The sequence below is a fragment of the Homo sapiens genome, chromosome 5 (genome assembly GCF_000001405.40).
Source record: "Homo sapiens chromosome 5, GRCh38.p14 Primary Assembly".
Taxonomy (NCBI): domain Eukaryota; kingdom Metazoa; phylum Chordata; class Mammalia; order Primates; family Hominidae; genus Homo; species Homo sapiens.
The window spans coordinates 172,478,155-172,492,574 of NC_000005.10; the positions used below are offsets into that span (position 1 = coordinate 172,478,155).

Genomic DNA, 14,420 nt, shown 5'->3' on the forward strand with positions numbered 1-14,420 from the left:
CTGCTATGATGTCACCTTGGGGCTATTGTCATTCCTCTAGGATCTTTTATCAGGAGTGGGTTACTTATCTTCCCTGTGTCTCATTTCTAAATCAGGATATGTATTGTACTTACTTTGCAGGGTTATTGTGAGGATTAATGAAAACCAGTGGTTTGGGTAATGCCCTCAGACACTGCATGCGTGGCACACAGTAAGCACTCAGTAAGTGTGGGCTGCTCTTATCATGAGGGCCATGCTATCTGCTGTCTTATCAGCTCAGGCTGCCGTAACAAAATACCATAGACTGCATGACTGGAACAACAGACATTTATTTCTCAAAGTTCTGGAGGCTAGAAATTCAAGTTGGAGGTGCTGGCCAATTCAGATCCTGGTGAGGACTCTCTTCCTGACGTGCAGACAGCCACCTTCTTACTGTGTCCTCACAAGATGGAGAATGAGAGGGAGCTCTCTGGTATCTTTTCTTATAAGGGTGTTAATTCCATCACAAGGGTGTTAATTCCTTGCCCTCATGATGTCGTCTAACCCTCATTACCTTCCAAAGGCCCATCTCCAAGTACCATCACATTGGGTGTTAGGGATTCAACATGAATTTTGGGGGGTCACCATTCAGTCCATAGAAGTGGGACACAGATGATGCTCAATAAATGTTATTTTCATTCTTTTCGTCTCTCCTTCTCCCTCTGGCAAATAAAGCCTGGACCCGGAGTTTGATTGTGGTTGTGCTATGGAATAACTGAGTGACCTTGGCCAGAGCAGTAAACCCCTTGGAGCCTCAGTTTTCTTTTCTGTAAAATGGGGCTTCGTGGGGGTGATTGTGAGGATTAAATGAGATAGCATATGAAATGAGCCTGGCACACAGTAGGTGCTCATTAAACCTGCTATGATGTCACCTTGGGGCTATTGTCATTCCTCTAGGATCTTTTATCAGGAGTCCTACATTCTTGACTCCTGCCAGATGGGGGCACTCACTGCCTTCTTATTCCTCGTGTGCTCAGTGGACGTCCCTGAGAAGCGGGCTGACTCGCCACCAGAGGGCTTTGTCACCGCCCTTCAAACGATCCTCAGGCACACAGACAGACAGACAGACAGAGGGAGTCCTGGATGAATGGCAAACCCTTCAGATTCTAATTTGTTTCTCAATCAGTTGCTTCCTCGTGTGAAATGAGGGGACAGACAGCTGATCTTTCTGAGCTGCCCATGGCTGGGACCACTGCCTCCATTCCCAACACCCTGCTGGGGACCCCGCCTTCCAAAGAACATGCCCCAGGCACACAGGTGAGCTCCCGCCATGCACTCCCCGTGAAAGGGAAGCCGTCTGGAGGCAGTGTGGCACCTGAAGACGCTGGAGCTGCTGCTGTCAGGGACACACGCCCTGCCCATTCATCTGCCTTCTGCGCCGGGAGCCCCCGCAGATGCGGAAGATGCAGGGAATGATTCAGCCCCAGCCTTAGTAAGTCAATTTCCACTCATTCACAACTTACGATGGTTTCACACAGGGTGCTGGATTGATGCTTCGTGTTACTCAGCAAGGCTTGCTTCTGCGAGAGGGAGGAGCAGTGGTGGTGGGGGGAACCCTTCCTCGGTGAGGCCTACTTGTCCAGCACAGTGCTCAGGGCCCTGCAAGAGTCCCAGCGGGAGAGTGACTTGCTCAAGGTCACACAGCTCAAGGGGCAAACTGGATTTGAACCCAGACTGTGGGGCTCCAGGGAACCATGGTGGGGTGCACCCCTCCCACCACCACCAGTCTTAGATTGGCAGCCTTTTGTGGAGCGTCCATGCTGTGCCCAGGCCTGTGCGGGAAGCCTCTGGAAGACGCAGGGAGAGTGGCCGGCCTTGTGGCAAGATAGGACACATGTATTGCTATTACTGTTTATTACCACCCTCTCTAACTCTGATCCTTAGAGAAAAAGAGGCACTGAAGAAAATGAGTAAAGAGGAGCAGAGTTTCTTTTTTCCTCCCAAGTGAATCATTGAAAGAAGTAAGTTTCCCTTCAATTTACATTTCAGTTTGGGCCTTTAAAAGCAGTTCTTTTTTTAGTTGTTTGACTAAATATATCTCTCAGTGAACATGTGCACCGATTTTTGGTTGTCTTGTAATTTTTTTCCTGATGACTGGTGTTATGGTTAGAGTCTGGGTTCTAGAGTCCTGTTGACCTGGGTATGAATTCGGGCTCCGTTGCCACATGAGCTGTGTGACTTTGGACAAATAACTTAACCTCTCTGAGACTCATATTCTCATCTGAAAAACAGGGAAATTAGAGTATCTTTCTTACATGTTCTTTGAAGAACTTTTTAAATATGCTTTTTTTTTTTTTTTTTAAAGATGAGATCTGGCTATGTTGCCCAGGCTGGAGTACAGCGGCTAATCACAGGCATGATCCTCATACACTGTAGCCTCGCACTCCTGGCTTCAAGTGATTCTCCTGCCTCAGCCTCCCAAGTAGCTGGGACTACAGGTGTGTACCACTGCACCTGGCTAATATACTCTTTATTTTTTTGGTGAGACAGAGTCTCACTCTGTCACTCAGGCTGGAGGGCTGTGGTGTGATCAAGCTCACTGCAGTCTCTGCCTCCCAGGCTCAAGCAATCCTCCGGTCCCAGCCTCCCAAGTAGCTGGGACTGCAGATGCGCACCACCATGCCTGGCTAATTTTATTTTTATTTTTATTTTTTTAGTAGAGACGAGGTCTTGCTATATTGCTCAGGCTGGTCTCAAACTCCTGAACTCAAGCAGTCCTCCCACCTCAGCCTCCCAAAGTGCTGAGATTACAGGCATAAGCCTCCACACCTGGCCTAATATACTTTTTATGATGAAAAATTTCAAAAACAAATAAAAACATAGAGAATAATATAATTTGAAGTCCAATGTACTGATCTTGCAGCTATGTCTTCAACTTCTGGCCACTCTTGTTTCATCAATTTTACTTGTAACTATTATAATATGTATCTCTAAAACAGGGGGCCCCAACCCTGGGGCCATGGACTGGTGTGGGTCTGTGGCCTGTTAGAAACCAGGCCGCATAGCAGGAGGTGAGCAGTGGGTAAGTGAGTGAGGGAAACTTCATCTGTATTTACAGTTGCTCCCCGTCGCTCACATTACCCTTGAACTCTGCCTCCTGTCAGAGCAGTGGCAACATTAGATTTGAATAGGAGCACAAAACCTATTGTGAGCTGCGCATGTGAGGGATCTGGGTTGCGGCTCCTTATAAGAATCTAATGCCTGATGATCTGTCACTGTCTCCCATCACCCCTAGATAGGACCGTCTAGTTGCAGGAAAACAAGCTCAGGGCTCCCACTACTCTACACGATGGTGAGTTGTGTAATTATTTCATTATACATTACAATGTAATAATAATAGAAATAAAGTGCACAATACATGTAATGTGCTTGAATCATCCCAAAACCATCCCCTGCTCTCCCCGCCCTGTCCATGGTTTTGGACCGTGTATTTTGTCTTCCACAAAACCAGTCCCTTGTGCCAAAAAGGTTGGGGATGGCTGCTCCACATGGTAAGGTTTTTCTTTTACAACATAACTGTTGTAATCAGGATTATAATTGTAATCCTGATGATCATTTGTGGAGGACTTACTGTGTGCTGAGCCACGCTTTTATAGCCCTTTGAGGTAACAGTGACTATCTTCATCTGTAGGTGAGAACAAAGAGGCACAGAGAGGTTGAGGATTTTTCCAGGTCACACAGCAGCAAGCAGTGGAGCTGGAGTTTGAAATGAAAGCCTGTCTGACTCCGGAGCCTGTGCCCTTTGTCTGTGTGTGCTATTATCATCAGCATTCTGTGTGGCTTGTCTGTTTCGATTATAAACTGTTCAAGGTTAGGGCCCCACCTTAGCTTTCTGTATTTTCACAATCTCCAGCTGTTCCATGATTGTCAGACTGATCATCATCATCATCATCATCATCATCATTGGTTTGCACGACCAGCAAGTGCTTGTTAAATACCTAGCTGGAGGACTGCACTCAGACCCTGTGCATGTAAAAGTCACAGTCTCTGCCCTCTAAGTTTCTTATATAATCTGCCAGAGATCAGTTTAGACATAACAGCAAGATGGGAAAACTGATGGGTATCTTCCTGCTGATGAGGCTGATTTCTTCTCTGTCTGAGTGGCCTCAGATTCCACATGAAGATGAAGATGTGGGCATGAGCTGAACAGACATTCCTCTGTGTCCACTGTTGTGCCATGAGTAGTACTAGAATCTGGGGATAGTGGAGGAAATACGATGTGGGGCCTTTGAGGCCAGGGAGGGAATTTGGATTTTACTCTTAGTGTGATGGGAAACCAGTGGATGGTTTTAAAGCGTGATGCAATCCCACTTTGCCACACTCTAGCAAGTGAAATCCCTCCTTTCAGCCTCTTGGGTGGTGGGGCAGGTGCGTCCAGCCGGGTCCTGGGTGCTGCCTGGTGTTCACCTCTTGGCAGCCAGCCACGCTGCTGGCCTGGGACAGGTCCACGCATGCAGCACACCCAGGCCCTGCTTTCCTTCTGCCTCCGGCTTCCCCGGCATCTCCATGCTGCCTCCAGAGAGGTCCTTCCAGAGGGCTTCACCACATTCCTCTTTGTGGCTTCCATCACCTTCTAGGTAAAGTCAGGCCACTGTAGCCTGCCTGCTTGCCTGATGGGTCCCTCATGACCCGGATCCTACTCACCCTCCCGCATCGCCTCTTCCCGCTGCTGCTCAAGCTCATATGTCTTACGCTCCGGAACCGGCAGCCCCTGTTCTTCCAGACCTCTGGGTCTTTGTCATGCTCTTGCCACTGTCTGCAGTGCTTTCCACCCTGGTTGACCTGGTGAACTCCTAATTATTCATCAAGGCCCAACCTAAAGATGACTCTTCTCAAAGCCTTCCCTGACTTCCCCATGCTTGGGGAGGTGCCTGTTTCTATTGGTGTGCTTTTGGCAGTATGTAACAGACCCCTCAACTAAAAGAAGCTTAAGCAATGAGAAATCGATCATTTCATTTAACAAGCAACCTGGAGGTAGGACAGTTCCAAGATTGTTTGATTCAGGGACAACCAGGTCTTTCTTTTTTTTTTTTTTTTGAGATGGAGTCTTGCTTAGTCCCCCAGGTTGGAGTGCAATGGTGTGATCTCGGCTCACTGCAACCTCTGCCTCCCAGGATCAAGTGATTCTCCTACCTCAGCCTCCTGAGTAGCTGGGATTACAGGCACCCGCCATCATGCCTGGCTACTTTTTCTATTTTTGTAGAGATGGTGTTTTCACCATGTTGGCCAGGCTGGTCTTGAACTCCTGACCTCAGGTGATCAGTCCGCATCAGCATCCCAAAGTGCTGGGATTACAGGCGTGAGCCACCACACCCAGCCACAACCAGGTCTTTCTTCTTTGCCATCTAGGTTGTTGGTGATGACTCCCCTCATGATGACAAAATGGCTGCCACAGCTCCAGACAAATCTGCATATGACATCCAGAGAGGGGTGGTACTTTGTTTTCCATAGCGGGGAGGAGAAGCTTTCTCAGGAGCCCGTCTGCAGACTTCCCCTCAGGTTTCCATGGCCAGGATTGGGTCATTGGCACATTCTAAACTAATTCCAGATAAGGAATATGGGATCACATGATTCACTCAAACCAATCAGATTCTCTCTTTGGAGCTAAAGAGGAATCATCTGATCAAAATTGGGGTTTTATTAGCAAGAGAGAAGGGGGAAAGGTTATTAGTTAGTGTGGTCGTTGGCCGCCAGGATGGCCCCCAACGATTCCACCTGCTGCGATGCCCAGCCTTGTATTGCTACCTCTCACCTTGCACTGGGTTGGTTTGTGTGACCAATAGCATGGGGCAGAGGTGATGGTATTTTGCTTTTGAGATGAGGTTGTAAGCACTGTGGTTTCCATCTTGGCTTCTCTCTTGCTAACTCGTGTGCTCTCTCTTCCCCTTGGGTTGCTTATTCTGGGGGAGGCCGTGTCTTGAGCAGAGAGGCCCATGTGGCCAGGAGCTGAAGCCCACAGCCATACTAGCATGCCTGGGAGCAGATCCCCAGCCCCTTCAGAGGCTGTGGCCCTGGCTGAGAGCTTGACTGCCACCCCCTCCGAGAGACCATGAGCAAGAGGCACGCAGCTGAGTGCTTCTGGATTCCTGACCCTTAGAACCACATGAAATGTCGGACGTCTATTGTTTTGGGCTGCCAAGTTTGGGGGTAACTTGTTATGTGGCAGTAGATAACTAATACAGCTGGCAAACAACAGTGGCTGCCGAGGTGCACTCCACTGCCCCCTGAAATTGCCATCAGAGCATTGTTTCATAATCTATGTTCGTCTGTTCCCTCTACAAGCTTGTGAGTGGCTTGATTTTCCACTTCCTTGTGCACGGGGGTCTGGAGTGTGCATGTGTGCATGCTTGTGTGTGTGTGCATGCTCGTGTGTGTATGTGTGCATGCTCGTGCGAGTGTGCATGCGTGTGTGAGTGCATGCTTGTATGTGCATGTGTGTGCTGTGTGCATGTGTGTGCTGTGTGCATGCTCATGCATGTGTGCATGTGTGTGCTGTGTGCATGCTCGTGCATGTGTGCATGCTTGTGTGTGTGAGTGCATGCTTGTATGTGCATGTGTGTGCTGTGTGCATGCTCATGCGTGTGTGCATGTGTGTGCTGTGTTATGCATGCTCGTGTGTATGTGCATGTGTGTGCTGTGTGCATGCTCGTGTGTGTGCCTGTGTGTGCTGTGTGCATGCTTGTGTGTGTGTGTGCCTGTGTGTGCTGTGTGCATGCTCGTGTGTGTGTGCATGTGTGTGCTGTGTGCATGCTCGTGCGTGTGTGCATGTGTGTGCTGTGTGCATGCTCGTGCATGTGTGCATGCTTGTGTGTGTGAGCGCATGCTTGTATGTGCATGTGTGTGCTGTGTGCATGCTTGTATGTGCATGTGTGTGCTGTGTGCATGCTAGTGCGTGTGTGCATGTATGTGCTGTGTGCATGCTTGTGTGTGTGCATGTGTGTGCTGTGTGCATGCTCATGCGTGTGTGCATGTGTGTGCCGTGTGCATGCTCGTGCGTGTGTGCATGTGTGTGCCGTGTGAATGCTCGTGTGTGTGTGCATGTGTGTGCTGTGTGCATGCTCGTGTGTGTGTGCATGTGTGTGGGGGATCAAGTCCACCAATCTTCTTTGAGACTCCTTCCTACTGGGTTGTCTCTGGATTCAAGACAGTGTCTAATTTCCTCTGTAACTCTGAGACCTGGCATGGGGCTTGTCACAGAATGGCCTCAGGGAATTTGGTGGAATCAAGAAAATGAATAGGATCCTGGGGTGGGTGAGAACCCGGTTGGCTGCTATGACAACTGTAGCATGGAGGACTCAGAGCAGCCTGGGTCCTGTTGATGATCTGGGAGGTTTTGCAGTAATTTTTCTGTGAAATGGCTTGGGGAGTGGAAGGCAGTTTCCATTCTCACCATCTTGGAAAGACGGTGCCCAGAAGCATGGAGCAGGGTGTGAGGAGGTGACAAGAGTGCTCTCCCAGGAACAGAGTTCTCCCACTTCCATGTCCTCAACTGTGCATTGCCATAACTACTCCAAGTCTGCATTTGTTTACTGAAGACCTACTATGTGCCAGTCTCTTGGCTGAGCACTTTCCAATCAGCTGTGGTCCATAAGCCTCTCCAGGGCGGGAGCTGTGTCTATCTTGTCAATAACACAATGCCAGGCACATAGAAGGTGCATAATACATACTTTGTGAGTGAGTGAATGAATGAACAAATGAATGAATGAAATGAGTGAGTGAGTGACTCTGGCTGCTGCCTCACATAAAAGATAAAAGGAAGTTAGCCTTGGAAAAGTTAGGCAAAGGGAGGATAGGCAGAAGGGTGAGTAGGATGGGAAGGATGTTCCAGGCACAGGAAGCCGCATATGCAAAGGCCCTGTGGTGAGAAGAAGCTTGCAATTGGAACCCAGTCTCCATAAATGGCTCTTTCATCATACCCCATGGTCCTCTGAGGTAAGTCCTTTTATTACCACCACTCTCAATTTGAAAAGTCCTTTCCATCCCTCCAAAAGGTTATGGAGAACATATAGAATAGTGAATTGGAGTACAGACTGCCTGGGCCTGGGCCCGGCTCTGCCCCTGAATAGCTGTGTTTACCTGGGGTACTTGTTTCAGTGTTTTTATCTGCCAAGTAGAGGCAACAGCAGAACCTACCTCATGGGGTTTTTGTGTCACTAAATGGGCTCATAGAATATATTATTATCTCGTGGGAAGCAGAGCTGTGCTGAGTCAAACCTAAACTCAGTGCCTTGGTTAGACAACCCTCTTGGAGGGCAGAAGGACAAGAGCGTTGGCCATCCCCTACTGCAGGTGGGAGCGTGCAGTCAGGCCTGTTCCAGCCTCTCTCTTCTGCCTGAGTCCCCCGCCCCTTGGCGTTGATCAGAAAGGACATTGGGGCAGAAGATTTGTCCTTTGTATGAGGCCTCCATGTTCTGAGAGTTGGTGACGGTGATGGGCCCGTTGTCTCTGTTTCCAGACAGTTCCAGACAGGACCAAGCGTGGCTGCGTCAGAAAAGCATGGAGTGAGACAAAGCTGCTATTTTAAGGCAGCTGCGGGAGCTCGGAGGGCGCGCCTGTGTTCTCCTGTCACAGGCTTGTCAGAGTTGCTGGAGTGAGCTTGGAAGTCAGGGCAGAGGGGGCAGGACAAGGAGAGGAGGGGTCCTCGGCTGACTCACAGACAGACTTGGGAAAGCCAGGGTCCCAGAGGAAACCAGACACAGCAGGGGGAACTTCAACAGGGGCATCTGTATGGGGCAGGGAAAATGTTTATAATCACAGGCTGTGCAAATGGCCATAGAGATCATTTAGGCAAATGCCCCCATTTCACAGGTGAGAAAACTGAGGTGAGAGACGCAAGTGTGGTGGAGGGGCAGAGGCTTCTTTTCTTTGTAAATCAGTGAAGCATTTTGTTTTAAATAATCACCGTATTAAATAGTATTAATCGTATTAAATATTATTATTTATACTTATATTTATAATAATAATAATTATTATTAATACCGTATTAAATAGTATTAAATAAGGTATGGCACATTAATACTATAGTCCTTTGTCATATTTAAAAAAACAAAAAAGATCTGTGTGAACCAACTTAGATTTCTAAGACTTGTTAAGAGAAAAAGAAGTTGTAAGAGAACGTGTACAGCATGTACTTATTAAAAAACAGAGGCAAAGCAAGATTTCCTATTTCAGTAGGTCCAGGTATGGCTATCAAGGCTTTGAGAAAGTTCTGGAAGGATGTTAGCCAAATGGAGTAGGATGGTCAACCTTCAGAGGGGACGGGATGGGGAGTGTGGGGCAGGGGACCTTCACTTCATCAGGATTGTTCCAATTGTTAAGAGAACCTTTTCATGTGTTACTTTTGTCGTTAAAACACAGGATACATAATATTTTTTAAAAATTGTTTTCCAAAGGCTTGTTTGGCCTTGAGGCTGGATTTGTCCAGAAAGCATTTCTCTCCTGGGTATCAAACCCTGTGAAACCCTGGCCTCTCCTCTCTGAAGCCTCACCCTGCTCCCGCTCCCCCACCACACACTGGATTTTATAAAATACAGAAAAATGATAAAAATGCTAATTAAAAGACATTCACTCAACTCCTTCTGCCCGAAGGAAGGCCATGAGAAGATGCTTTTTCTCATGATGCCTCAGGCTTCCAGGAAATTCCCGAGCCCTGGGGGCAAGGCCTGTGGGGGTGCATCACCTCCCAGAGAAGCGATCAGAGGTAGGGATGGAGCCCCTGCGTCCCTCTTCAGAGCGTGGGGTGCTTCCGCTTCGTCACTTCCCACTCTTTGTCTTGAGATAAGCAGTCAGCACCCTGGACACGCTCTTCCCAGAAAAACGCACAGTTTTCATTATTTAACAATGTTTGCATATTTGCTAGTTTTTCAAAATTAATTTTTAGGAGCATGAATAAAATAAGAATACATTCTCCACGATGGGAAAGGGAGTTCAGGAAGAAAAGCAAGCACCGTAGATGGGCTAAAGTCGCTTTGAACAGCCCCCCCCTCCAGGGGTAACCACTGTTAACAGTTTGGTGCAGATCCTTCCAAACCTTTTCCTAGGTGTTTATATGGAGTTACTTGGACTCATAGAACTCTGTGATGGTGGTGTGTGTGGAGGAGGGTTAAACATGACCGCAGCCAGTTGTATGCATGGGGTGATGACAGTTTGCGGTTGCTGGGCTGTAAACTCCGCGTGGTGATTCCATCTTTGTCCTGTTCCTCATGGTTTCCCCCTGCCTGGTGCATGGCAGGTGTCTGCGAGGTCCCCAGTCTGCCTGGCTTCCATCTCCAGGCATGGCCTCGTGACTGGCACTCTGTTGCGGTGTCAGACGCCTGAACGAGCCTCTGTTCCTAACAGTGCCTCAGACGGGAGGCTTGGGGGTACGGCCGAGAGGGGAGTGGCCAATCAGAGGCACTCCTGGGAGGGACAGCCCTGGAGATCGGAGCCTTGTTGGGTGGCCGTGTGGCCCCAGAGAGAAGAGAAGCGGGAGGAGAAGGTTTTGTGGAAATCCAGAGGGGAGAGGGCAGGGCTGGGACTCCTCAGAACTTCCCTTGGGAAGAAATGGCGAGCTGTGATGTGGGAGTGGGCCTTCGAGGGTCCTCAGTGGGGAGGCCCATGTTGGGGGCTTGGATCACAGCCACTGGGAAGCTGCTGATGCCCTCCCCAACAGAAGTCTATCAGACATCCCAACCATGTGGAAAAAGTAGAACTGGTGACCAGTCTGGAAGGGAAAAAGAGACCATCTTTAGATATGAATAGGCCTCTTGACCAAACGAGATAGGAAAACCCACTTCCCGTGCTTCTGTGGAATTATGCTCAGGTCAGCGTGGGCCCCAGTCTGGGCTCAACACTTCCTGACTCTGAGCACTTCATGTTTCCTACCTGGCAGTAGCAGGCTGTGTCCTGAGCACACTGCAGGATCTTAGCCAGCCTCAGCTCACCTGCTCTTCAAGGGCCCTACCACATGTAAGATGGAGGTATTGAGTTCTGGAATAAACTTCATTGATTCATATGTGTTGATCATCTGCATGTGTCTTAGTCCATTTTCGCACTGCTATAAAGAAATACATGAAACTGGGTAATTTATAAAGAGAAGAGGTTTAATTGGCTCACGGTTCTGCAGGCTGTACAGAAAGCATGGCTAGGGGGAGGCCTCAGGAAACTTATAATCATGGCAGAAGGTGAAGAGGAAGGAGGTGCATCATCCTAGGGCCGGAGCAGGAGGAAGATAGGGAAGGGGAGGTACCGCACACTTGTAAACAACCAGATCTCATGAGAACTCACTCACTATCATGAGAACAGCAAGGGGGAATCCACCCGCATGATCCAATCACCTCACACCAGGCCCCTCCTCCAACATTGGGGATTACAGTTTAACATGAGATTTGGGCGGGGACACAAATCCCAACCATATCAGTCAGTATCAGGGTTCTTTGGTTGCAAATGACAGAGTAAAAGCTCATGTGCTCTGCTGTCCAAGGCAGCATCCTCCAGGACTTCTCAGTTTCTCTCCATTTCAGGGGTTGGCTTCTTCAGCGGGGCCCCTGTGGTTGGGTTGACCTTCCCTCTGGTCCCAAGACAGCTGCCAGCAGCACCCAGAGCTACATCTTCCTTCATTCGCATCGAGTGGGAAGAACAGGCACCTCTCTGCAGCATTCCCAGCAAAGCCTGGAGTTTCCTTCTGATGGGTCATCTAGGGTCACAGGCTCTCCCTGGAGCGGGCCAGCTCAGCTGGGGCATAGGCACTTGAGGTGGCCAGGCCAGTCACAAGTCCACCGTGGAGTGGGGTCAGTCAATTTCCCTGACTGCCTCAAGGACAGTGGGCGGCAAAAGCCCTGCGCCCCTGAGGCAACAGGAACATGGAGCCTTCTCCGTGTGCCCGCGAGGTTGGAAGATGAAGCGGGTGTCGGATCATAGGTGAGGATGGAGGCTCCTGCGTCCACACGCACCCCACAGTCGGGCTACCTGACCTGGGGGGAGAGGTGCAACTACCCCAGTGCTTTAAATATCACCCTGTGGTGGCCGGGTGTGGTGGCTCATGGCTGTATTCCAAGCACTTTAGGAGGCCGAGGCAGGCGGATCACTTGAGATCAGGAGTTCGAGACCAGCCTGGCCAACATGGTGAAACCCCGTCTCTACTAAAATTAAAAAAATTAGCTGGGCATGAGGGCGGCGCCTGTAATCCCAGCTACTTGGGAGGCTGAGGCAGGAGAATCACTTGAACCCGGGAGGCGGAGGTTGCAGTGAGCCGAGATTGTGCCACTGCACTCCAGCCTAGGCAAAGAGAGCAAGACTCCATCTCAACAACAAACAACAACAAAAAAGATAAAAATAAAAATCACCCCACGGGGATTGTTGCTTTTAGAACCTAGATTTCCCAAGAGAGAATATCAAAATCTATCATTTTATGAGCGAGGAAACAGGAAAGTTATGACTTGTCCAGGTCACACAGCAGCTCGGGGCCAGAGCTGATGGCAGAATTCAGGGGTTTTGACTCCCAGGGGAGTGCTCAGCTTAGGGGAGTGATCAGCCAGGCGTGTGATTCATTGCAAGAGGCAGGGGTAAATAAATGCTCCTAAGTGGAGGTGGGTGAAGTATGGGCCATGGCGGGGGTCATTCCTGCAATGTCTCTTCTGTGTCCTGGGGTGGGTGGTGGGGGCTGTCAAGGAACTAGCTGGGCCCTCGCTAGTCAAGCATGACTCTAGGCCCTGGCCTGATAGAGTGGGCAGTCCCAGAAGCTCTCCCGAAATGTGTGGCATGTCTCCCTGCTGATATGGAGCCAGAGAGATCTGCCACTTGCCAGCTGTGTGACTTTAGGCAAGTTACTTCACCTCTCTGTTGCCTCCTCAGGTGTGTAATGAGACCAACCACCCTGCTTCTCTAGGGGGCTTGGGGGAAGGAATGAGACAAGATGTGAAGCGTCCAACACGGTGGCTGTCCCTGGTCAGTACCCAGGAACTGTGCATGGCTCCCCACAGGGGCACAGACGGTCCATCCTTAGGCACATGTGTTTCCTCAGGTAGCTCCTGGCTTAGTCTCAGGACTGGGCCTGAGGGTGCCTGGGAAGGAATGGGCATTCTGCCTGGCATCTGCAGGTGAGCAGGAATTGCTTCTAGAATGCCAGGCCAGCTTGGGCATGCTGCTCCTGAGGCCCGGCTGCCTACTGGCCACCCACACTCTGGGGAGGCTCTTTTCCCGGCCCTGCTTCTGGGGTTCCAAGGGGAGGCCTCGGGTCATCTGCTGGGAGCAGCTGCAGGATGAAGACAGGGTGACTCACCTGCAGACAGGGAGGCCAAGTCAAGGGATCAAAACAAGACAGAGACTTCTTTTCTTCCCTAGGGACTATGAGAAGATCAGAAAGGGACCCACGCATCATCAGTTATTCATGAGGTCTGCAGGAACCCGTGCAAAAAGCCCAGCTGGGGAGCAGGGTGGGGTGATGGTGAGAAGCCCTTCTATACAGGTTCCCTCCCCGAGCTAAGCAAAAGCGTTGAGGTGACACGTGTCACCTGTTCCTAGAGGATCTGCACTGAAGGCGGGGCAAGCAGGACCTGCTGTACACAGCACAGGGCCTTTCTTCCCACAGCTGCGTCCTGCAGTGGTGACACTCTTGCACGTAAGGGGTGGTTAGCCACACTGTATGAATAAGAACACTGAGAGGCAGGGAGAAGTGACTTTTCCAAGGTCTCACTGCTATGAAATGGCCAAACTAGGGATGAATGAAAGGCATGTGCTCATCTGAAGGGGAGTCAGTATTTGTTGGGCATCCACTGCTGCTCTGTGTGCTGTGGGTACCGCAGTGAACAAAGCACAGCTTTTGCCCTTGTGGGGCTTATATTTTATTTCTGAGGTAACAGACAATTAACAAGCATGTAAATAGATGCATGAAATAATTTTAGGGAAGGATAAGTGCTAACGGATGGGCTGAGGGAAAAGAGAAGATAAGAGACGAGATGGCATGCAGGGCCATGGGCACTGTAAGTGGCTAGGCCTGTCACAGGTCATCCCCGCAATGGGGTCTGTCAACTTACCTGACTGCTGTGCAGCCTGGGGTTGGGGACAGTGGGCAGAAAAACCCCCGTAGCAGGGACGGGCTGCTAGTTTAGATGGGGTGGCCAGGAAGGGCCTCTCTGAAGAGGTGACATTTGAGCTGAGGCCTAAACGAAGCAAGGGACTGAACTTTAAAGGTCCAGGAAGAACATTCTAGGCAGGATCACAGCAAGTGCAAAGGCCCGGAGACTGGAGGCTGCTTGGTGTGTTCGAAGTGCGGCAAGGAGGCTGGTCTGGTGTAGGGCATGAAGAGTGGTAGGAGATGGGGTTAGATTGGGGCTTGGGACCAGAGGTGGGGGCCCTTGGAGGCCACAGTAAGGAAAGAGACTTTGGGAGGAATATGAGATGCTGAGGCCGCAGAGTGCCCGAGA

At 50.0% G+C, this 14,420-nt stretch overlaps 1 long non-coding RNA gene across 2 annotated transcripts in view, besides 3 other annotated features; it reads left to right on the forward strand.

Moving 5' to 3' along the window:
* LOC105377727 (uncharacterized) overlaps positions 897–14,420 on the forward strand; it is a 57,398-nt gene continuing 43,874 nt past the window's right edge. The window contains exon 1 of one of the 2 annotated variants that reach the window (XR_941225.3): positions 897–1,450. This is a non-coding gene — a long non-coding RNA (uncharacterized LOC105377727). The other variant, XR_001742994.2, reaches the window with a different exon arrangement.
* Positions 929–1,550: an enhancer, noted in NCBI's record as "H3K27ac-H3K4me1 hESC enhancer chr5:171906087-171906708 (GRCh37/hg19 assembly coordinates)". NCBI's record gives its function as "activates a minimal SCP1, AML or CMV promoter by ChIP-STARR-seq in naive H9 embryonic stem cells {active_cell/tissue: H9 hESC(naive)}" and the evidence as "EXISTENCE:reporter gene assay evidence [ECO:0000049][PMID:30033119]".
* Positions 1,551–2,170: an enhancer, noted in NCBI's record as "H3K27ac-H3K4me1 hESC enhancer chr5:171906709-171907328 (GRCh37/hg19 assembly coordinates)". NCBI's record gives its function as "activates a minimal SCP1, AML or CMV promoter by ChIP-STARR-seq in naive H9 embryonic stem cells {active_cell/tissue: H9 hESC(naive)}" and the evidence as "EXISTENCE:reporter gene assay evidence [ECO:0000049][PMID:30033119]".
* Positions 6,263–6,764: an enhancer, noted in NCBI's record as "H3K4me1 hESC enhancer chr5:171911421-171911922 (GRCh37/hg19 assembly coordinates)". NCBI's record gives its function as "activates a minimal SCP1, AML or CMV promoter by ChIP-STARR-seq in primed H9 embryonic stem cells {active_cell/tissue: H9 hESC(primed)}" and the evidence as "EXISTENCE:reporter gene assay evidence [ECO:0000049][PMID:30033119]".